Below are 23,391 nucleotides of genomic sequence, written 5' to 3' on the forward strand. Positions count from 1 at the left end.
AGCTATTGGTCCTTCTATTCATTAGTGTTTGCTGAGACATGCTATGTGACAGGACTGAGCCAGGTCCTTTCAATGGATAGGAGATGTTTTGAGCATAAAATCCACGTTCTCTCTTGGGCTGGGCTCTTCTACCTTCTTCCCCCTGGTGCTTGGGCTCTGAAGAAAAAAAGATAGGTAGGAGATGAGTGATGGGGCTTCTGAGGGCAGGGCTGAGTGACTTTCTGTGTATTTGCTCTTTCTTTATCAGAAGTCAAATGCCCACAGGCACCTGTCATCCTACTGCCAGTAGGACTTCTCACTCAACCTTCCCCTCTGACCTTACTTGGAGAAGGACTTAGGTCCCTCTCTCAGACATTTCCCCAGGCTGGGCAAGTTGTGTGGACCATGGATGGGTATGTGGTCCATACAATTTAAACAAGCTGTATATGGTCGCTGGGTAGAGTGACCACATAATTGATCATCAAAACTGATACCTGTAAGAGCAAAAGGGGGCACTATTAACCATTGGGTCAGGGCAACAGGTCAAAATGGAGACCTACCCTGGGACTTCTGGTCACACTAGCTACTGTCAAAATGGGGCCCAAATAGACAAAGCCAAATGGAAGAAATTCCCTTGACATTGAAAGTGTTGGGGCTCTGTGGCACCCCCAGTTCTAGGTTGGGGGAGCTTGGGCTGGTCTCATGATGAGTTCTGAGGGGGATGGGCCAGTTGGGCCCCCCGTTCCATCTAACTCAGGTTCCTTTCCTCCCAGTCCGCCTCTCCAAGGACCGATCCACACTGCAGGTGCTGGACTCGGCCACAGGGAACTGGTTCTCTGCCTGTTTCGACAACTTCACAGAAGCTCTCGCTGAGACAGCCTGTAGGCAGATGGGCTACAGCAGGTAACCAACCTGGGCCTCTCTCCTTTTTCCCTCCTTCCTCCTTCCTCCTCTTCCTCCTTTCCTTCCTCCCTTCTTCTCTCTTTCCTAAAAATTACGGGCATTGGAGCCAGGCAGAATGGCTTTTGAATCCCAGCATTTCACTTATAAGCAACATGAAGTTAAATTTCCTAAGCCTCAGGTTCCTCAGGAGTTAATTGGGGGAACTAATGCCAACCTCATAGGATAGTTTTGCAATGCCAGTGAGAGAATGTGTGCTGCCCTCCAACACACACACACACACTTCTAGCGTCTATGCAGTCCTCTCCTTTCCTTTACTCCTCAACCTTCACTCCTTTGTGCTGGCTTTGCAAGAAACTGTTCCTGCCCAGTAATACAAAAGCTAAGTTAACTTATTCAAAGTTTCGTTAGTTAAGATTTAGCTTAAGTGAGCCTAGTTTCAGTGGGGCCCCATCTTCAGCAATCCCAGCTCTCTCTGCAAATTTCAAAAGCAGTTCCAAATCTGGAGTGGATGAAAAGGTGTAAGATGATAGTAAGAGTAATTTGCATTCTATATATTTATATTCACTTGATTTTGGCAGAAAACCAAAAAGATAGTTATTATATCTTATATATAGATATATATTATATCTATTTCATAAATAGGCTCAAACAAAGTAAGTAACTTGCTAGGGTACTAGCTGGGAGGTAGAGGGCTAGAATTTGAGCCCAAGACCCCTAATTCTTGCGCATTAGGAGTTCCCACATTGTTTCTGTTTCTAGACTGAGTAATTCTTTATTCTCATGTAGGACATCATCTCTAAGGGAAGGGGCTAATGAGATGGTTGATCACTCAGAGAGTTTAGCTGGAGAGGATGGAAAAGAACCCATACATTCAGTTGCAGATTGAGATAGCCTATCTCTGGCAGGCCTCAGATTTCTTCAGGATTCTAACAGACTGGACCCAGAGACTAGGCCAAACAAACAAACAAACAAAAACTCTACTAGGCAGACATCACCAACCAATCACAGAACTCTCTCCCATGGATCCCTAATACAGCCTCAAAGTCCTTTTCAGTAAATGCTCCAGGCAGCCATTACAAATCAATCAGAATTATTTGCCTTTCTCTTCTCTGCTCAACGGGCTTCTGCTGCTCTCTACTTTCCATAGGGGGCAACTTCCATTACCCTCTAGAAAGCACACCCCACCACCTTCATTTCAAGGAGAGTGAGGAACTCATGCCCAGCACCTGCTATTCTCCCCTCTTCCTGCAGCCACGGAGCCCAGCCTCGCTGCAGCCAGCCCTGCCTCCCCACTGTAGTCCAGTCAACTGCTGCATCAGCCGTTCCTGGCACAGCAGGCTGAGCCTTGATTATGAAACCTGGGTGTCTCCAGGGGTTCTTAAGATGATAGGCTCCTGGAATTTCTGTCCTTTTGGAGCTCAGTAAGGCACCAAACCACCTGAGTCTTGTGCTTCACAAAATCAAAGTTCATCAGAATCATTCATTGGGATGGAATTGGTGAACAGAAGTTAACTTTCCTGGGAATGTCCATTTCCACCATATTCCGTCCTTCTAGGTCTCAGACTTCTCTACTTTCTTTCCTCTCTCTAGATCGGAGGCCCTTCTTGTCCTAGAACCATAGGCATTTCAAGATGTGGGAGACCCTAGGGATCATCTAGTCCACGCATCTTTTTTTTTTTTTTTTGACAGAGTCTCACTCTGTCACCCAGGCTGGAGTGCAATGGCACCATCTCTGCTTACTGCAACCTCCACCTCCCAGGTTCAAGTGATTCTTTCGCCTCAGCCTCCCAAGTAGCTGGGATTACAGGCACGCACCATCATGCCCAGCTAATTTTTATATTTTTGTAGAGACCGAGTTTCACCATGTTGGCCAGGCTGGTCTTGAACTCCTGACCTCAGGTGATCCACCCACCTCGGCCTCCCAAAGTGCTGGGATTACAGGCGTGAGCCACTGCACCCAGCCCCGTGCATCTTTTTATAGAGGGGGAAACTGAGGCTTGGAGAGACCCAGAAAAAGAATATGACCTGCCCAAGGCCACACATCAAACTAGTGCCAGAGCCAGGGACAGAACCTAGATCATGAGGACTCTTAAAATGCACTCTAGTCCTCCCAGGTCTGAGACTTGGGTCCTTCCAGGAAGTGCCAGCATTCCTGCCTGAGAATGTGCCAATCCACCAGTATTGCCAATGACTCAGCCCTCCATGGAGAGCTTCTACTAACATTACTAGCATAGTTAGGGATGGAAGGAAAAGATTTAGAAGAGGCAGATTCAGTAAAGGAACAATCAGAGAGATGGAATTAATCAAGGAAGGCTTCCTGGAGGAGGAAAAACTTCAACCCAAGGTTTGAAAGTAGCAAGCATGGATTAGCAGGGAGAAAGAGGGAGAGTGGTCCAGTTGAGAGAAACGTTTGTCTGGATTCATATGAAGACAGATCTAGTCCTGTTCTATTAAATATCTCTAAGGGGGCCAAAAACATACCCCCGCTATCAAAGTCAGACCAGATGCTTTGTTTGGAGAACGAAATATCCACATTCCAACTCCCTCCCAGGTGAGAAGGGAGCTAACCTGAGCCCCTATGCCTCTTTGTTTCCCTGCTGTGAACCAGAAGACATTGCTGGGATATTTGAAATAGGGACAGAGCTGGGAATATGGAAAGGAGACCCCTAACATTTCTCCAGGGCTCTGGGTTCTGGATTTGGATTCCCCACCCAAGAAAGCAAGTTACATCAGCAATGCACTGAGGGTTGAGTCCTGGGATGCCAAGGGTCGGTTCTTTATTGTATAGCAAAGCAGGCCCCATCTTCACTGACTAAGACCATCTCCACTCCCTGGCCACTCCCCACCAAGCATTCTCTGCCACTCTTTCTCCTGAAAGTGGGGGCCAACTCTACCATCTTGTTCTAACCCCCTGCCCCAGCTCACAACTCTCTCTCCCTCTTGATGTGAGCAGCAAACCCACTTTCAGAGCTGTGGAGATTGGCCCAGACCAGGATCTGGATGTTGTTGAAATCACAGAAAACAGCCAGGAGCTTCGCATGCGGAACTCAAGTGGGTAAGTGAGGGGACACCTTCTGGCCTACAGAAGGCCCCCACATGGACGCTGCTCTTCAGGTTGCAACCAGCTCACCTGGAACCCCAAGCAGCCAGGGGAATGTAAGCAGACATCAGGAAGAACTCCTAGCCAGATGGATCATTCAATGCCAAGAGCTATAGACTCACATTTTGGAGAGGTTTTCTGTGTTGACTTGTTTTTAATACAATGGACAGCTGGACAAAGTGTGTTGTCCTACTCAGAGCCAGAGGGATGGATAATGTGACCTTTCCATCAATCTGGATAGTAAATAGTTTTTGCTACTGCTGTAGGTTTTCTAATAAATTGCCCAATAGGCAAGATTCCAAAGTCACTTTGTCCTTCCCTACCACTTACCCAGCCAGAGCTCCCCACCTTCTTGATGCTCCAGGGAAGAGGCTCCATGGCCCTTGTGGGTGGCCTGTTCCTGAGCCTCGCCACCCTGTGTTAGAGCAGAGCATCCAGATGAAATCTGTCACACTGTGGCAAAGTGGCTCAGAGAGGAGGCTGGCTTCCTAGCATTCAGGGACGTTGCTGAGGGCCGCTTATTCACCGAAAATAAATCTTGAAAAGGACAGGGCTGGTAGCAGAATGATCCTTTACCTAAAATTCTATCAAAATCCCATTCTTCCATTTGGAAAGCCCACAGTGTCACAGACTCTGTTCCGGGCTCTGTCCTCTTCCCTCTTGGGTCCCAGGAGCCCAGGCTGGGCTTTGAAGCAGGCAGGGCCCAGCACACAGTAGGTACTCAGCAGTGGGGGTGTTGAATCCAATCAAACGGAAGTGTCAATGCAGGAAATGCAATGGATGTCAATGCAGTCTCCAAATGTTCCCCACTGTGCAGCTTCCACATTCCCGAGGTATTGGGAGGGGACTTGAATTAACAGCTTCGGGAGGCCTGAGTCCCTGCCTCCCAGCTGAGGAAGAAGCTTAAATCACAGGGCGCTGTGTCTGTCTTCCAGGCCCTGTCTCTCAGGCTCCCTGGTCTCCCTGCACTGTCTTGGTGAGTACCCCCAATCTCTGAGGGTTTGGGGCCTGGGCCAGCAATGAGCAGGGAGGAAGACCTTCATCTTCACTCCTAAATTTCTGGGACTCCAAGTTTCATTCTGCCTTGGTCTACAGCCCTTGGGCTTGTCGGTCAATGCCCCCTCGAGTTGTTGGTGGCCTTGGGCAGGTCACATTCTTTTTCTGGGTCTTTCCAAGCCCCAGTTTCCCCCTTCTACCATCTGTGCATGGCTCCATGACCTAAGTGGAGACCTGGGAGAGAGTGTTAGGAAGACCGAAAAGGGCAGGACGGGGCCTCCACTGCCTCCCATCCCTGGTCCGGGCCCACATAGCCTTCTTTGTCACAATCAGCTCAGGTATCCAAGATCAGATTACCCACATTCATTATTTGAGCAACTATTCATTGAACAGTTAGAATATGTCTCACTCTGTCAGTTGCTGGCTAGAAGTAGAAAGTACCAGATGAGTGAAATAATTGGCCACTATCCTTGGTAGCTGATGACTAAGTAAGAGAGAGATGCAAGACAACATGTGGAAAATGCCAAACTGAGTAGCAGTCACAGTTGACATGCTGCAGAGAGAGCTGGCCGGGGGTCAGAAGACCTGGGCACCAGTCCTGTTCATTTCCAGTGTGGCCTCGAGTCATTCACCTGACCTCCCTGAAGTTCATTTTCCCAAGAAGTTGTTTAGTCCAACTGCCCATCAAGGATCTTTAGGGACCCTTCTAGCTCTAACAGAGGAGATCAGAAAAGAAAACAAGCAATGTGGCTCAGCTCATCCTACAAGCTTCATAGAGAACTGAGACTGGCCTGGAAGCATAGCCAGAAATTAGAACGCCTAAGGGAAGAAGGTCACAACGCTGCCTCTGCAATTTAGGAGTGTATATGCTTTCCTGCAGGATGTTGAGAGTTTCATTCATTATCGTATGCCCCCTACCCCGGCCCCACAATACCTAGTGCGTGGGATCTGACACGTGGTGGCTGGTCAATGAATGAATGAATGAATGGTCACACCATCTGAGGTTCTGCACTGAGTAGCCCTGAAGGCTTGAAGCAGCATAAGTGACAGGTCCTCCCTTGAGGGGCCTCTGTTTTACCAATAAGCCAAGACCTAAGCTCAACAACACTGAAAGGGTGGCCAATACCCAGGACAGCCTGTGGGAATTCCAGAGAAAGGGAGATTCCCAGGGACTGGGGGCCCAGGCTAAACACTGAAAAATGCATCTGTAGGCTCAAGGAGGAAAAGCCCATGTCTGTCTGTCTTGCCCACCACTCTCTCCCAGCACCCAGCACTGCCCCAGGACAGAGAGCACTTGACACAAGTTGGTTAGATTAATGAATGATTTAGAGTTCAGTGGTCCCCAACCTTTTTGGCACAAGAGACTGGTTGCATGGAAGACAATTTTTCCGCAAACCAAGAGGGGGATAGAGAGCATTAGATTCTCTCTTTTTTTTTTTTTTGAGACCAAGTCTGGCTCTTGTCACTCAGCCTGGAGTAAAGTGTTGCGATCTCGGCTCACTGCAACCTCCGCCTCCTGGATTCAAGCGATTCTCCTGCCTCAGCCCCCTAAATAGCTGGGATTACAGGCACCCGTCACCAGCCCAGCTGGGACTATAGGCATGTGCCACCATGCCCGGCTAATTTTTGTATTTTTAGTAGAGACGGCGTTTCACCATGTTGGCCAGGCTAGTCTCGAACTCCTGACCTCAGGTGATCTGCCCGCCTGAGCCTCCCAAAGTGCTGGGATTACAGGCATGAGCTGCCTCACCCAGCCTAAAGTCTCATAAGGAACGTACAGCATAGATCCCTCACATGTGCAGTTCACAATAAGGTTGTGCTCCTACAAGAATCTAACGCCACCTCTGATCTGACAGGAGGTGAAGCTCAGGTGGTCATGCTCGCTTGTCCCTGCCACTCACTTCCTAATGTACAGCCAGGTTCCTAACAGGCCACGAACCAGTGGGAAGGGCATCTTTTTGGATCAAAAACAGAATTACTTTTTAGAGAACTACAAGCAGATCAATTTGGCTAGACAGAGACTTTATATGAAACAGCAGGAGGCTGCTAGGAGGAGTGGAAACTCTACTTTGCCCTCAAGGGAGATCCCGAAGGGCTTTGCAGGAGCGGGCAAGGTGGCATGAAGAAAGCAGTGTTTGAAATCAGGTGGTATTTGAAAAGCCCAGCCCTTCCCCTTAGAATGGCCCTTCTACCATCTGTGCATGGCTCCACAACCGTGGTGGTGGCTGCCAGAAGAATTGGAAAGGCAGAGCATGGGTGGAGAGGGGGGACCTGAGGGCTTTACAGGAGTTCCGGGGGTGGTGAGGGTGTGAAAGCCAGGTCAGTCAGTAGGAAGACAGGATGTCAGATTGAGAGACTCCCCTGGCCGGGGAAACAGACTTGGAGAAGGGGGAGTTTTGGATGAGACAGTCCACTTCCGAGTCACAAAATAGCTTGTGGGTGTCTGTTTACTGTTACTCAGTGGGAGTGGCTGGGGACACGCCACCTGGGCAGGGCTTTCGTAATTCTGCATCACTTGTGAAGGTCACAGATTCCCAGCACAACGGACACACCCATGTTCATAGTCTGAACTCCTAAACACATCTTAAACCAAAATAAAAAAAAAAGAAAGAAAGAAAGAAAAAGGAGAGGGAGGTTTGAGGAAAGCCTATGGTCTGGGACACTCAATACCTCCCATGAATATCTCATATTGGGCTGGTCCTCTCTCCACTCTGGCCCCAGCCATAAGGGCCCTGCTTAGAGCAGATTTTGGGTGCTGAGTGGAGGCAGCCTCATCCCCAACAGCCTGACTTCCTGCCTCCTCCCTGCCTCTGCCTGTGTCCAGCCTGTGGGAAGAGCCTGAAGACCCCCCGTGTGGTGGGTGTGGAGGAGGCCTCTGTGGATTCTTGGCCTTGGCAGGTCAGCATCCAGTACGACAAACAGCACGTCTGTGGAGGGAGCATCCTGGACCCCCACTGGGTCCTCACGGCAGCCCACTGCTTCAGGTAAGACCCCAGCTGTAAGGAGGTCTCTGGGGACCAAGGCCAGTCAGGGACCAGAGAGCTTGGGGTCCTGTCTCCTGGCACCGTCCTTCTCTTCACTCTCCCACTAGAGACGTTTTCCAGGTTGTGGTGGCCCCAATGAGACAATGGCCATGATGCCCTTTGTTAGGCTTTTGGGTGTCTGAGCAGAGGGTGCTGGTCACCAAGCATGGCCTCTTCCTGGTGGGACACCAGCAGATACCCAGAGTCCTCACCCCACCCCCATATCGTTCAAGCTACAAAAGCTCTTCCCACCTGCCTCAACTTCCAAGAACTCACTCTCTTTTTGCTTGTTTCCAGGAAGTTGTTCCAGGGTCTAGAGTCATAGCCACGTCCTCATTATGTCTGGAAACTTTAAAAAAATTAAAGAGCATAGGTTCCTTTCAGTCCACAGAGAAGCCTGGCCTTACCTCAGGGAAGGGCTACTCCCAGACCCCCTTCACTTTTTTTTTTTTTTTTTTTTTTTTTTTTTTTGAGACAGAGTCTTGCTCTGTTGCTTAGGCTGGAGCGCAGCAGCATGATCTTGGCTCACTGCAACCTCCGCCTCCTGAGTTCAAGCAATTCTCCTGCCTCAGCTTCCCAAGTAGCTGGGACTATAGGCATGGGCCACCATGCCCGGCTAATTTTTGTATTTTTGGTAGAGACAGGGTTTCACCATGTTGGCCAGGCTGATCTCTAACTCCTGACCTCAAGTGATCTGCCCACCTCAGCCTCCCAAACTGCTGGGATTACAGGCATGAGCCAGGGCATCCGGCTTTTATTTATTCATTCATTCAATATCTAATGAGCACCTACCAGGTACCAAACACCAGATGATGCGCCCAAGTTCATTAGACCCCACCGCTGTCTTCAAGGCACTCATGATCTAGGCCAGCGTTTTTTAACCACTTTTTTTTTTTTTTTTTTTGAGATTCTGGTGAGAGCTATAAATTCTTTCCTGGAAAAACATCTCTGCACACTAAGCTGTGCCTGGCATTGGGAAAAAGAAAGCACGTAATGTAACTGACAGCATGAGTAACACAGTGAGAAAGGTTGGAGGAGAGAGCGCCAGGACCTCAGAACTCAGGCATTAGAGGAGCCCCTTCCCCAGCCCTCCTTGAGGTTTCGTTGGGCAGGTTTCACTGAGGAAAAAGGGTCAAATCCCTTTTTCGAATTTGACTTCTTGTAAGTGCCAGAAGACTGCCCCTTCTCCACCATCCCTGCCTCACCATCATCTTTCCTCCCAAGGCAGTGACATCCAGCACCCCGATCCCTAGGGCCCTGGGGACCCAGCCTTTGGCAAAGTCTCCTCAGGCTTGGATCAGGCCTGAACCCAGCTGTCTCTACCCCCAGGAAACATACCGATGTGTTCAACTGGAAGGTGCGGGCAGGCTCAGACAAACTGGGCAGCTTCCCATCCCTGGCTGTGGCCAAGATCATCATCATTGAATTCAACCCCATGTACCCCAAAGACAATGACATCGCCCTCATGAAGCTGCAGTTCCCACTCACTTTCTCAGGTGAGAAGCAGGGCCCAAGGCCACTCAAGCCTCTTACATCAGTTTTCACGCCCACTCTGCTATTAGCTCACTGACCGCCCTTGGCACATAATGTCTCCTCTCAAGTCCTCAGCTTGCCCATTTGTCTCTAATACGTCAGCCTAACATCACTGATGCCATGAGGCCTCCTCAAGCTGTCAGCTAACACCTCCACTCCATTCCCTGCCAGAGATTCTTCCAAGGCCTGTCTTCCCTATGTGGAGCCCCTCGAGTGAGAACTGGAGTTTCATCCAATCTTGGAGTTTTAGGAGACCTTTTAAAAAGATTATCGAGCTAATTCCCCACCACTGACCAACACGCAAGAGCCTGCTCAGTATCCCTGCCAAGGAGTCATTGTGCCCCTGTTTGCTCTCCTCCAGGGGCAGGGAACCCATTACCTGTGAGGCAGCCCACAGAGTCTTTGAACAGCTCTGTTGGATGCCTTGTGCTTATACTGAAATGTATTTAGATCAGGATTCCCAACTGTGGGGTCCACAAGACACTGGCCCCTTGGAGAAGAGAGGATTCCATTGTCAAATAAGTTTGGGGAACATTTTCATACTACAGCTCCCTTCTTGGAACACATTAGTTTATTAAAGGTAGGAGAAGTTTTTAAAATAATCTGTTTTATTGCGTTTAACCTACATTTTTTAAATTTATTTGACCACAGAATCCTTTTTTCATGCTACTTCTATTAGCATCCCATAGAACAAGTGTTCTAGAGACCCTGGTGTGACCCCTTTCAGAGAGCTTAACTGCCAGGCTCTCCTGAGCCCTGGTGTGTGTTTCAAGATTTGTGCCTGGGAATTGTTTTAATCAGGTATGGCAAGGTGACAGATACAGACACAGCTATCTTTGAAAGAAGAGTTTATTATTTATAATTCCTGAGAGAAAGGGACATACCCCACCCCCCAACACAGGGACACCCGGGGAAGCAGCTGGGTCCACCAGGAGGCAGGAGTGAGGGGAAGGCATGGCCCAGAGCCACCTGTGGCTTCCATGGGCAGGTCTGGCCAAGGTAGGGTAGGCAAGATTGAGCATGCTCAGGATTGGATAGTGTGGACAATTCTCTAGGCTATAGATGTCAGCCTCTGGTTGTCTAGTATCTGTCCCTGGGGTGATTTAGGGCAGGGAAAATATTGGCTTGGTGTCTGAGAGTCAGATAAAGGAAGTGGTTGGGGATATGGGCTTTGGGTTGGCTGGTTTGCCTATTAAAGGCGTGCCCAAAGCCAAGTTGTTTACTATCTGCAGGAATTAGCTAACCCAGTCTCTCCCAGACCAGCAAGATCCCCATAATCATAAAGCATCATAATTTACAGAAAATTAACACTTATGATGAATAAAAGATCTCCTTCTTCCTCTGTGCTCCTGGCAGGCACAGTCAGGCCCATCTGTCTGCCCTTCTTTGATGAGGAGCTCACTCCAGCCACCCCACTCTGGATCATTGGATGGGGCTTTACGAAGCAGAATGGAGGTAAGTCCTGGGTGCAGGACCACAGGGCAGGAGATGCCCTTGTATGAGGGAGCAGCTTCCAGAAGTAATGGGAAGGAGGACCACCCTTCAGAGAAACCCATCCTGGAGGACCAAGCACCAAGGCGCCAGGCAGAAAGCAAAGTGGTTTGGCAATCCAGGGCTGGGGGATAGAAGGCAAGGATGGGAATGTGAGTGTTTTTACCCTCCCAGGGAAGATGTCTGACATACTGCTGCAGGCGTCAGTCCAGGTCATTGACAGCACACGGTGCAATGCAGACGATGCGTACCAGGGGGAAGTCACCGAGAAGATGATGTGTGCAGGCATCCCGGAAGGGGGTGTGGACACCTGCCAGGTGGGGCCTCCAAGAATCATGGGGAGTTCTAAGAATAGGGTTTAGGTCCTAGAGAGATGAGAAAACCCAGAGGCTGCATGCCCTACAGGAAGCCTTGCATATCATGGGCACTCAATGTGTGATGATGGGAGGAAGAGAGGGAGGGAAGGAAAGGATAGTCAGATAAAAGTGTACCAATAGATGAGTGGGTGGATGGATGGATGCAGACAAGCAGAGAGATTTCAAATGTCTCTTTCACATTCGAAGATGATGTTACTGGCCTGGCATGGTGGCTCACGCTTGTAATCCCAGCACTTTGGGAGGCTGAGGCGGGCAGGTGATTTGAGGTCAGGAATTCAAGACCAGCCTGGCCAACATGGTGAAATCCCATCTCTACTAAAAAGAATACAAAAATTAGCTGGGCGTGGTGGCACGTGCCTGTAATCCCAGCTACTTGGGAGGCTGAGGCAGGAGAATTGCTTGAACCCAGGAGGCAGAGGTTGCAGTAAGCTGAGATTGCGCCACTGCACTCCAGCCTGGGTGACCCAGCAAGACTCCATCTGAAAACAACAACAACAACAAAGATGACATTACTCATCCACCCCACCCACCCTTCTCACTAGCTACAGAATGATTAGCCCCTTGAGGTCAGGAATCCCAGGTCTATTTTCTCTGTGACTCTCCCCAAGCTGCTGAACTACACTAGGAAAGAATTACCGCCTGCAGAATGCTGGAAGCACATCTGTGTGTGCCCTCACCCCGGCCTCATTGGCCATCAGGACTGCTTAGCAATCCCTGTAGACCTTCTTCCTCCCCCATACTTCCAGAGGATCTTCTGAACTATTTTCTTTTTTTATTTTTTCTTTTATGTTTTTTAACAGAGACAGGGTCACTATGTTGCCCAGTCTGGTCTCAAACTCCTGGGTTCAAGGGATTCTCCCACCTCAGCTTTCCAAAATGCTGGGATTACAGGCATGAGCCATCGTGCTTGGCCTGAACCATTTTCATTAAAACCCCTACCCTACTCTCACCTCCATTTCCAGTCATTAAATTCCTTCATTTAAGAGGCATCTCTTAGTCATCGCATGTGTGCCATGAACATGGTAGTCTTTGGAGACCCCTCAGGGAGCTCACAGTGGTTGGGGGAAAGGGGGGCATTAAACAGACATTTAAGCTATAGTTTTGGGTTCAGAGGGAGGAAGCCCCAGGGGCTAAAACAGCTGATAAGGACTCCCAGATAAGTGCACTTTTCACTATCTGGCATTTTCTTGTTTTGTTATTTGCTTGTTCACTGTCTCTCACCCCATTTGATCCTAAGCTTTCTGAGGGCAGGGATCTTTGTTTTTTTTCATCAGTTGGATCCCAATTGCTTAGAACACTACCTGGCACAAAATAGGCACTCTATAAGTGATTACACAAATTTTGGAACGACTAGGTTAAACAATGATAACCAGGCTTTTTTTTTTTTTTTTGAGACTGAGTCTCACTCTGTTGCCCAGGCTAGAGTGAAGTGGTTTGATCTCGGCTCACTGCAGCCTCCGCCTCTGGGTTCGAATGATTCTCCACCTCAGCCTCCTGAGTAGCTGGGATTACAGGTGCCTGCCACTATGCCCAGCTAATTTTTGTATTTGTAGTAGAGACGGGTTTCACCATGTTGGCCAGGCTGGTCTTGAACTCCTGACCTCAAGTGATTCACCCGCCTCAGCCTCCCAAGGTGCTGGGATTACAGGTGTGAGCCACCGCTCCTGGCCAACAACCAGGCTTTTTTAAGACATCACTCAGAGCCTTTAATTTGCTAATGTGAGTTGTGAATCTCTGAGAGAAGGCTAACGGCATGCTTGCAACTTACTTGTCCACAGACAAGCCTTTCTGCCCCAGAAGAGAAGACCATTCTAGGGTGCTAATGAGCAAAGAGGGTGAGGGTGGAATATCGGAGAGCAGCAGGGAGTGCAGGGGAACAGATAGGCCAGTTCAGGGAGCAGAGAAGGAGAAGCCCCCCCACCTCACCTGCCCTCCCCAGCAGTCTCTGTTCTGGTCTCTCACAGGGTGACAGTGGTGGGCCCCTGATGTACCAATCTGACCAGTGGCATGTGGTGGGCATCGTTAGTTGGGGCTATGGCTGCGGGGGCCCGAGCACCCCAGGAGTATACACCAAGGTCTCAGCCTATCTCAACTGGATCTACAATGTCTGGAAGGTAAGGTACCTTTGCCCTACCCACTGTGCCTTCCCTCCAGTCCTCTACCTGGGGGGTGCCAATCCATCCTCAGGTTTGATTTAAATGGTTCTGACAACTCTTTACATCCCAAATAACTTTCCCTCCAAGCAAGGGACAGCCTGAGATTGCACTATTAAGGCTGAAATTCCTTAGGTCAGAGATTTCTGATAAATGCAAATACCTTAGGGAATAGAACACACCAAGCCTTTCTTTCTCTTTTCTGACAGAATGAGACTATCAGATCCTTTCTAGAGAGAAGATTCTGATAAGGAAGAGAGTGGAAAGGCTCATGAGACCTCCTGGCCCTCTGCAGGGTAGGGAGAGAAGCAAAGTGTTTCAGAAAAGGAAGACTCACGTTACACATGTCACCACTTTGTCCAGTTTCAGATAATCTGACTTTCTCTTCATCGGTCTCTCTTATTCTAGGCTGAGCTGTAATGCTGCTGCCCCTTTGCAGTGCTGGGAGCCGCTTCCTTCCTGCCCTGCCCACCTGGGGATCCCCCAAAGTCAGACACAGAGCAAGAGTCCCCTTGGGTACACCCCTCTGCCCACAGCCTCAGCATTTCTTGGAGCAGCAAAGGGCCTCAATTCCTATAAGAGACCCTCGCAGCCCAGAGGCGCCCAGAGGAAGTCAGCAGCCCTAGCTCGGCCACACTTGGTGCTCCCAGCATCCCAGGGAGAGACACAGCCCACTGAACAAGGTCTCAGGGGTATTGCTAAGCCAAGAAGGAACTTTCCCACACTACTGAATGGAAGCAGGCTGTCTTGTAAAAGCCCAGATCACTGTGGGCTGGAGAGGAGAAGGAAAGGGTCTGCGCCAGCCCTGTCCGTCTTCACCCATCCCCAAGCCTACTAGAGCAAGAAACCAGTTGTAATATAAAATGCACTGCCCTACTGTTGGTATGACTACCGTTACCTACTGTTGTCATTGTTATTACAGCTATGGCCACTATTATTAAAGAGCTGTGTAACATCTCTGGCATAGGCTAGCTGGAATGCTTGATAAGAACTGAGCTGGGATGATTGAACTTTCATTCTTTGGCTTGGGGAGAAAAGAAGTCCTGGGGAAGCAATTGAGTCTCAAAGTAGAGGCAGGGGAAAAAAGAGTTAGGGAGACCAGATCTGCTGAGTGGCAGCAAGAGTGAGCTGCAGATTACAGAAACCAGGGTGAGCAAGTTTGAGTCCCACACAGGGCCTTCTCCCTTTGCCTCTTTCCCTCCCTCCCTGCCTGTGATAATCAGCCAGGAGCCAGGGATAACCTATGACTTGGGAAAGAGATGAGTTAGGCAGTCAAGGGTGACATTCAATCAGGGATCCACAAGTGGCTGGAAAGAAATGCTGGTCCTGTGTCCTAACTTTTTCCGCCTGGAGAGCCCTCAGTGTGGCTTCTTACATTTAAAAAACAAAAAGGATCAGCTGCCAGGTGTGAGGCAGTCCCCAAGCTGAGTTGTGAGGATGTAAGCATGAATAAGTCCCTGCACTCAAAATGGTCAAAGAATTAAACCCCATGGACTTTTTTGGCATCTGTATGAAAGCTTGGGTTTTCTGAGGACTGTCTTGCTATAGTTAAGTCAGATCCTAGATGAAATATACTTGTTCATACTGTACTAGGTTCTTAGGAAACAACAGAATTCCTCAAATGCCAAAAACAAAGAAAATAGAAACCCAGAAAACAAAACAAAATAAAACAAAACCATCAGAACTGTGAGTGGAAACTAAGGTGATGATCTGGGAGCAATACACTAAAATCTTGGGTCGAGACCTATATGAAGGCTGGCAGTGGAGCTAAACCTGGACACACTGAAGACAAGGGAGCTGAACCAGGGCTCCTACATGAAGCAGGGATAACTGATGGCAGTAAATGTGGTCTCAAATTGCAGATGGTCTGGAGGAAAATTTCCCAAATTTAGAGCCTCAGGATTCCCAAAGATCCTCCAAATATGAGCTCACAATCAAAGATCAGAGACGTTGAAAAATAAAAAACACCTTAAGTGGGCAGCATAAAAAACAGCTAATTTAGAACCCCAAAGGCTTCAGATGTCAGAATATTAGAGACTTATGATAATAAGCAATATTTGCAGAGTATTTGTATGTGCCAGACACTATTGTAAGTGCTTCATCATGTACTGATTCATTTAATACTCACAGAAATCTGTGAGATGGGTATTATTCTTATCCTCACTCTATGGATTAAAAAAACTAAGGCACAAAGTGGTTAAGCTCCTTGCCTGAGATTATAGACTGTAAGTTGAACGTGAGCACTTGGAATACAGAGTTCATGCTGTAAACTACCACACTATAGGGCCTCCAATATGATAATTTATAAAATATTTGAATAAAAAATGAATACTAGTTCCACATTTTAAAATCATGTTTAACTGTGGTCAAATGCACATAACACAAGTTGCCATCTTCACCATTTTTAGGTGTATAGTTCAGTGGTGTTATGTACATTCACACTATTGTGCAGTCATCACCACCATCCATCTCCAGAACAGAAACTCAGTACCCATCAAACAACTCTCCATTTCCCCCTCCTCCCAATCTCTGGCAACCACCATTGTGCTTTCAGTCTCTGTGAACTGGATTACTCTGGGTACCTCATTTAAGTGAAGTCATGCAGTATTGGTCTTTTTGTACTTGTTTTATTTCACTTCACATTGTGTCTTCAAGTTTCACCCATGTTGTAGCATGTGTCAGAATTTCTTCCCTTTTTAGACTAAATAATATTCTATTGTTTATACGAACATTCAGGTTACTTCTATCTTTTGGCTATTGTGAATTATGCTGCTGTGAACATGGGTGTACAAGTATCTCTTTGAGGCCCTGCTTTCAATTCTCTTGGGTATATTCCCAGAAGTGGAATTGCTGGATCATATGGTAATTCTATTTTGAATTTTTTGAGGAACTGATATATTGCTTTCCATAGAGACTGCACCATTTTACATTCCCATCAACAGTTTGCAGGAGTTACTATTTCTCCATATCCCCCCTAACACTTGCTATTTTCTGTTAAAAATGGATATCTTAATAATCAAGCAAAAATAACAGGCAGATTTGAAAAAGAACTGAATACAGCTTTTAGAAATAAAAACTATAATTATAAAAATAAAAAACTAAGTGGATGGGGTAAATAACAATTAAAACACCAATTAAGAGAGAACAAATGAACTGGAAGATAAATTGAAGAAGTGACTAGGCTTAACAGCAGAGAGAGATAAGGAGATTAAAAATATGAAAACAAGGCCAGGAGCAATGAAGCCTAGAATGGTAAATTCTAACATATCCAGAATCCCAGAAAGAGAGAATCAAGACAATGAGAGAGAGACAGTACCAAAGAGATAAGAGCTGAGAATGTTCCAGAATTGATAAAAGGTGTGAATCCACAGAACATACACCACCATAGTGTACACGCATACAACCAAGGTGGAAAAATTAGAATAAATCCACACCTATGTACATTATAATGAAACTGCAGAACACCAAAGACAAAAAGAAACTCCTTATAGCAGCAGAGAGAAAACCCAGACCACCCACAGTACCACAAATCTACCACAATTAGACTGACAACAGGCTTTCCCACAGCAATAAAGGAGCTAGAAGTCAGTGGAAGTATATCTCCAGCATGCCAAAAGATAACAATCAATCAGGGATTGTGAACCCTACAAAACTATCTTTCAAGAATAAAGGCATTTTCAAGAAAACAAAAACAGACTTTACCATCAACAAACCTTCTCTAAAAGAATATATAAAGCATTTACTTTAGGAAGAAGGAAAATGATCCTAAAAGGAAGAACCAAGAAGCAAGTAGCAATAGTGAGGCAATTGTGAAAATGTAGGTAAGTCTAAACACACTCTGTCTACTTCTTCTTCTTCTTCTTCTTCTTCTTCTTCTTATTTTGAGACTGAGTCTTGCCCTGTCACCCAGACTGGAGTGCAGTGGCAGGATCTTGGCTCACTGCTATCTCCACCTCCCAGGTTCAAGTGATTCTTCTGCCTCAGCCTCCCGAGTAGCTGGGATTACATGCACATGCCACCATATCCGGCTAATTTTTGAATTTTTAGTAGAGATGGGGTTTCACTGTGTTGGCCAGGCCGGTCTCAAACTCCCGACCTCAAGTGATCCCCCCGCCTCGGCCTCCCAAAGTGCTGGGATTACAGGCGTGTCTACATATTATTAAAATAACAATAATATTTATTTTGTGGGTTAATTTTTTTTGAAACAGATATTGAATTTATTGGTTGGCTATGAGTAGAAAAATACATCAGTAAAGAAAAAAGACCCTGTATATAAATATAATACTAGCTAGTTAAAATTTGACCAAGAAGTTTCCATTGTGGGTTAATTTTTAAAGGCCTAACTGAAATATGGAGTAACCACAGCATGCAGCATGTAAATTAAAGGGGATAGCTGGAGTTAAAATATTCTGAAGTTCTTAAATTGTCCAAAAGGAGGGTTAAATATTAATGTTATGTTACATAAAATGTTTGTACTATGTTCTAGATGGTTAGTTAAAAGAGTAATCACCAAAAGAATGGAAATAAAAGTGTGTCACTTCCAAAACAATTGAAAGTAGCAATTGATGAATAAAAAACAAATACATCAAGCAAGTACAAAAGAGAAAGGAGGGAAAGGAAGAGCACTAAGGAGGGAAAAGCACAGAAAAATGGAACAAATAGAATATACAAAGTAGGATAGTGAAAAAAGTACTAATAATCGCAATAAATATTAAACTCACCAAATAATATACAGAGATAGGCAAATTGGATAAAAATGTAAGATCAAGCTATATGTTATTTGTAACAGACATACACAAAACACCAGGTTACAGAACCATTAAAACTGAAAAAGTGGAGAAAGGTACAGACAGCAAGCATTTAATCAAATTTAAGCTGGGGTAGCTATATAATATTTTTCTAAATAAGGATTTAGGACAAAAAGACAAAACTGACTTTAGGATAAAGAGGGTCACTACATAATCACGAAAGTTTCAATTCACCAGTAAGCTATAATAAGTGAAAACTTGCAAACAAAGAGAAGAAAATAGAAAATTAAAAAAATCATCCTTTGTCACCACTGGAGTTGGCAATCACACCAGGCTCTTACTCTGAAATAATATTTAAAGAGGAAAAGTTAGCACTATTCTGCTTTGCCATAGAAATCTACTTCCAGGTAACAGGGTGGCTCCAGGTGGTGAGGGAAAGTATAGCTAATCAATATAGATGAATGACAGGAAGCCATCATTGGCAATTTCTAATGAAATCATTGATTCAGGCAAGGATCATCAATGGATGCTATTGTCTGAATGCTTGTGTCCCCCAAAATTTGTATGTTAAATCCTAACCCCCAAGGTGATGGTAGTAAGAGGTGGGACTTTGGGGGCTGATTAGGTCAGGAGAGCTCCCTGTTCATGAATGGGATTAGTGCCCCTTACAAAAGAGGCTTGAAGGAGCCTCTTTGCCCCTTCTGCCATGTGAGGACATAGCAACAAGATACTATCTATGGAAGCAGAGAATGAGCCCTCACCAGACACCGAATCTGCTGGCAACCTTGATCTTGGACCTCCCAGTCTCCAGAACTGTGAGCAATAAATTTCTGTTGTTTATAAATTACCCAGTCTAAGGTATTTAGAGCAGCATGAATGGACTAAGACCACAGAGAACTGCACAGTCACATAATACCCTCATATCATCCCACGGATCCCTTGCTAATCTCAATAAGAAACCTAACTTCAAAATGAAGGGATCAGGCTATCATCACCTTACCCACTAACAGTGGAATCAGCAGATACTATGTTCCTCCCAACGTGAATATGAAGTACACCTTCATGTTGCATCATCTAAAGGCATCTTCCCAAAAATGTTTAACATAAATCTTTTAGATCTAATTTCCAGTGTACAGGAAATACAAGAATTAGAGGAACAAAACATAAGAATTAGAGGAACAAATTAAATGACACCACTAAAAGACAAATCCAGAAGGTGGGACATTCCACCACAGGACATTCCCATCTCTTCAACAAATCAATGTCATGTAATTACTGTTATGTCTTTTTTTTTGAGACGGAGTCTTGCACTGTCACCCAGGCTGGAGTGCAGTGCAGTGGCACCATCTCGGCTCACTGCGAGCTCCGTCTCCTGGGTTCATGCCATTCTCTTGCCTTAGCCTCCCAAGTAGCTGGGACTACAGGCGCCCGCCACTACGCCTGGCTAATTTTTTGTGTGTTTTTAGTAGAGACGGGGTTTCACCTTGTTAGCCAGGATGGTCTTGATCTCCTGACCTCGTGATCCGCCCGCCTCAGCCTCCCAAAGTGCTGGGATTACAGGGGTGAGCCACCGTGCCCGGCCAATTACTGTTATGTCTTAAGAGGCATAACAATCAAATGTAAGGCATGGGCTTTGACCAGATCCTGAGTTGAACAAGTTAGCAACAAAAGGCATTTGGGCAAAGGGGTAATTGGGAAATGTGAATATGATCTCAGTATTAGATGATAATAAGGAATTGTTAATTTCATTATGTGTGACAATGATATAGTTAAGTAAGAAAGATATTCTTAACTTTTAGAGATGCATACAGAAGTATTTGGGGTAAAATGATGCAAAGTTGTAATTAAAAATACTTCAGGAGGGGCCAGGCATGGTGGCTCATGCCTGTAATCCCAGCACTTTGGGAGGCCGAGTGGGGCAGATCACCAGGTCAAGAAATCAAGACCATCCTGGCCAACATGTTGAAACCCTGTCTCTACTAAAAATACAAATATTAGCTGGGTGTGGTGGTGCGTGCCTGTAGTCCCACCTACTTGGGAGGCTGAGGCAGGAGAATTGCTTGAACCCGGGAGGCGGAGGTTGCAGTGAGCTGAGATGGCGCCGCTGCACTCCAGCCTGGCAACAGAGCGAGACTCCATCTCAACAAAAAACAAAACAAAACAAAACAAAACAAACAAACAAAAACACTTCAGGAGGAAAAAAAACTGTTAAAGCAGATATGGTAAAATGTCAATGAGTGTGAAATCTAGGGAATAGATTTTTATTATTCTTTTTACTTTTCTGTATATTTGAAAATTTTCTCAATTTTTTTAAAACTTATATAAACACAATATAAAATAGACTCGAAAGCTGATAGAACTATAAGGAGAAATTGACAAATCCACCATCTTATGAAGTGGAAGATTAAGCACACTTCTCTCAATTATTGATATGTCGAGCAGGTGAATAGTAAAGAATGGAAGATTAAACAATACCATTTACATGCCTGATAAATAGACATATACTATCCATACTTAGCAAAAAAGCATTCTTCTCAAGCACTTTTGTGAAAATTGACTACATACTAGTCCAAGAAGTAATATCAACAAATTTCAAAAGTAACGTGAGCACCAGGCCTAGCTTTGCTCCCTTCAATTTCCGCTCAGCCTCCCCAGCATCCCCCATCTTCCCGCCTCTAGGCTTTAGTCACTTGCCCGCTTACTTCTTTGAATGGGCCCAGCTCTGGCCCCTTCCATTCCCACAGTTGTAAAGCTCTGGCCACTGCCACCACCTCCTCTCCTAACACTACCACTGGTCTTCCCCTGCCCTGGGCCAGGACCAGAGCTGGGCTTTGGGTTGGGTGGCCTTCGTTGCATGCACCACGGTGACAGCCACAGCAGCCCCAGCTCTCAGACTGGCTGACTGCACCCAGAGAGCTCTGACTTCCCCAGGGCTTCCGGGAAAGGCTGAGTAACAAAACATGGAAATGATTGTCTGTGGGGTAAATGTTGAATAATGGAAGATGGGAGACAGGAAGGAGCCAGCAGATAAATGGCTTCTCCTTCTTCCCTAGGATAGAACTATTCAGAGAAGCTGTAACTCCCCAGGGACAGGTCTTGTGATTCAGCAACCAGCTGTACCGCTGATGGAGCTACGGTCAGCTCGGCACACACATCGCCTGACCACCTGTGTTTGCTTTCTCTCATTCCCTGCCTTACAGCCCCTGTCCCCCTTATGCCCATTTCCCTGGGATTGAACCCCCAAATAAAGTGTTAAGATATGAATTTAATGTAGAAAACTTAAGTTTTCTGAGAAACCTGGGCTAAGACTATCAAACAGATGTAGCTCTTTGATTATAACGTTATTAAGTTCTAAGGCAATAGCAAACAATAATTTTGTTTGTTTGCTTGTTTTTTAATTGTGTTGTTGTTGTTGTTGTTGTTGTTGTTTTTAGACACAGGATCTCACTCCGTCACCCTGGCTGGAGTGCAGTGGCACAATCTCGGTTCACTGTAGTCTCAACCTCCCAGGCTCAAGCAATCCTCCTCCCTCAGCCTCCCAAGTAGCTGGCACTACAAGCACACACCACTATGCCCAGCTAATTTTTTTTTTACTTTTTGTAGAGATGAGGTCTCACTATGTGGCCCAGGCTGTTCTCCAACTCCAGTTCGAGTGAGCCACCACACCCAGCCCGCAAACAATAATTTTTAAAATATAAAATACATACATGCTTTAAAAAAAAACTTCTAAATTATTCATAGGTCAAAGGAGAAATCATAAACAAAAATGTACCTAACTAGAATGATAATGAAAAAAATATATATTATATACATATGCAGACACACACACACACACACACACACACACACACACACACACACACACATATGTACATTCATGGAATGTCTCAGTGTGACATTTAGCAGCTAACCTTGAAATGCTTGTGCTCTTTCCTGATCTGGACTTGGACTGAGATGCACCTACCTTTGCACGTTACACTCAGAGCACAAGTGATTCTGCTGGGGAGGTCAAGAGGGAACCAGGAAGTTATGACTTGACTAACATGGCAAATCCTCACTGTCTTTGGAAGGGAGGATGTGGAGAGGAGGATGATGGGTAGAGAAGATCCTCCCCTTTTTCACAAGGAAGGAAGAAGACTAAATCCTAGAGAGGTGAGGCCCGAAAACAGAGCATGGGCCTGGTTCTCCCAACTGTGGCCCAGAGCTGCCTCCACAAGAAGGTGCCCCCACCCTCACCTGCAAGCCATTACAGGACCATGATGGAGGGTGAGTGCAAACCTTGGCCAGGTGCTGGAGCAGGAAGTAAAGAAAACTCCAGCCCCAGCCCGTTAGTGTTTAGGGGCAAGCAGAGCAAAGACTTTTCATACAAAGTGGGAAAGAACTGCAATAGAGGCATGTGTCACTGCAGCAAACAGGCGCATACCCATTCCAGGGAGGTGTTTCCAGCTAGAGGGCTCAGCACATACAAAGGAACAAGTACCAAGAAGCTGGGTTCGGCACGTACAAAGGAACAAGTACCAAGAAGCCCTATGTCCAGAGAACAGGGAGAGTTTAGTGTGGGAGAGAAAAACAGAAAGGGAATTTGAAAGGAGCGATGTGGGAGCACGCTGTAGAGAAGAGAAAAAAATCTGGGCATTAGAGGCAGGGAGACTGACTCAAAATGGTGGGCCCGTGTGTGTGTGTGTGTGTGTGTGTGTGTGTTGATTACAAATGTATTGCATAGTTATAAAAATTCAAACAATACTAAAGGTTTAAAAAGTTAGACTGGGCATGGTGGCACTTTGGGAGGCTGAGGCAGGCGGATGGCCTAAGCGCGGGAGTTTGAGACCAGCCTAAGCGACGTGGTGAAACCCCATCTCTACTAAAAATATGAAAATTAGCCTGGTGTGGTGGCATGTACCTGTAGTCCCAACTACTCAAGAGGCTGAGGTAGAAGGATCGCTTGGACCCAGGAGATCAAGGCTGCAATGAGCCAAGCTTGCACCACTGCAGTCCAACCTGGGCAACAGAGCAAGACCTCGTATCAAAAAAAAAAAAAAAAAGAAGATATCCAAGAGTCCATGGGGGCCGGAACAATAGGGCCTTCTG

The 23,391-nt window shown here is 46.3% G+C and overlaps 1 protein-coding gene across 16 annotated transcripts in view, besides 1 other annotated feature; it reads left to right on the forward strand.

The window, feature by feature from the left end:
- TMPRSS4 (transmembrane serine protease 4) overlaps positions 1–21,567 on the forward strand; it is a 48,428-nt gene extending 26,861 nt beyond the window's left edge. For 4 of the 16 annotated variants that reach the window (XM_005271613.5, XM_011542902.3, XM_005271614.4 and 1 more), the window contains 9 exons: positions 753–882; positions 3,836–3,937; positions 4,918–4,958; positions 7,803–7,962; positions 9,331–9,497; positions 10,891–10,989; positions 11,200–11,342; positions 13,367–13,516; positions 21,357–21,567. In XM_005271613.5, coding sequence (XP_005271670.1) covers positions 753–882; positions 3,836–3,937; positions 4,918–4,958; positions 7,803–7,962; positions 9,331–9,497; positions 10,891–10,989; positions 11,200–11,342; positions 13,367–13,516; positions 21,357–21,539 — 1,175 coding nt within the window. In that variant the 3' untranslated portion in view covers positions 21,540–21,567. Of the gene's footprint in view, positions 1–752; positions 883–3,835; positions 3,938–4,917; positions 4,959–6,113; positions 6,460–7,802; positions 7,963–9,330; positions 9,498–9,984; positions 10,128–10,890; positions 10,990–11,199; positions 11,343–13,366; positions 13,517–13,963; positions 17,953–21,356 lie in introns of those variants that run through there. The other 12 variants (NM_019894.4, NM_001290094.2, NM_001173551.2 and 9 more) reach the window with 6 other exon arrangements.
- Positions 22,636–22,805: an enhancer, noted in NCBI's record as "experimental_19222 CRE fragment used in MPRA reporter constructs". NCBI's record gives its function as "activates a minimal promoter by MPRAs in K562 erythroleukemia cells, with activity observed for both the introgressed and non-introgressed 11:117997374 variant alleles {active_cell/tissue: K562}" and the evidence as "EXISTENCE:reporter gene assay evidence [ECO:0000049][PMID:34662402]".

The sequence above is a fragment of the Homo sapiens genome, chromosome 11, assembly GCF_000001405.40.
Source record: "Homo sapiens chromosome 11, GRCh38.p14 Primary Assembly".
NCBI classification, from domain to species: domain Eukaryota; kingdom Metazoa; phylum Chordata; class Mammalia; order Primates; family Hominidae; genus Homo; species Homo sapiens.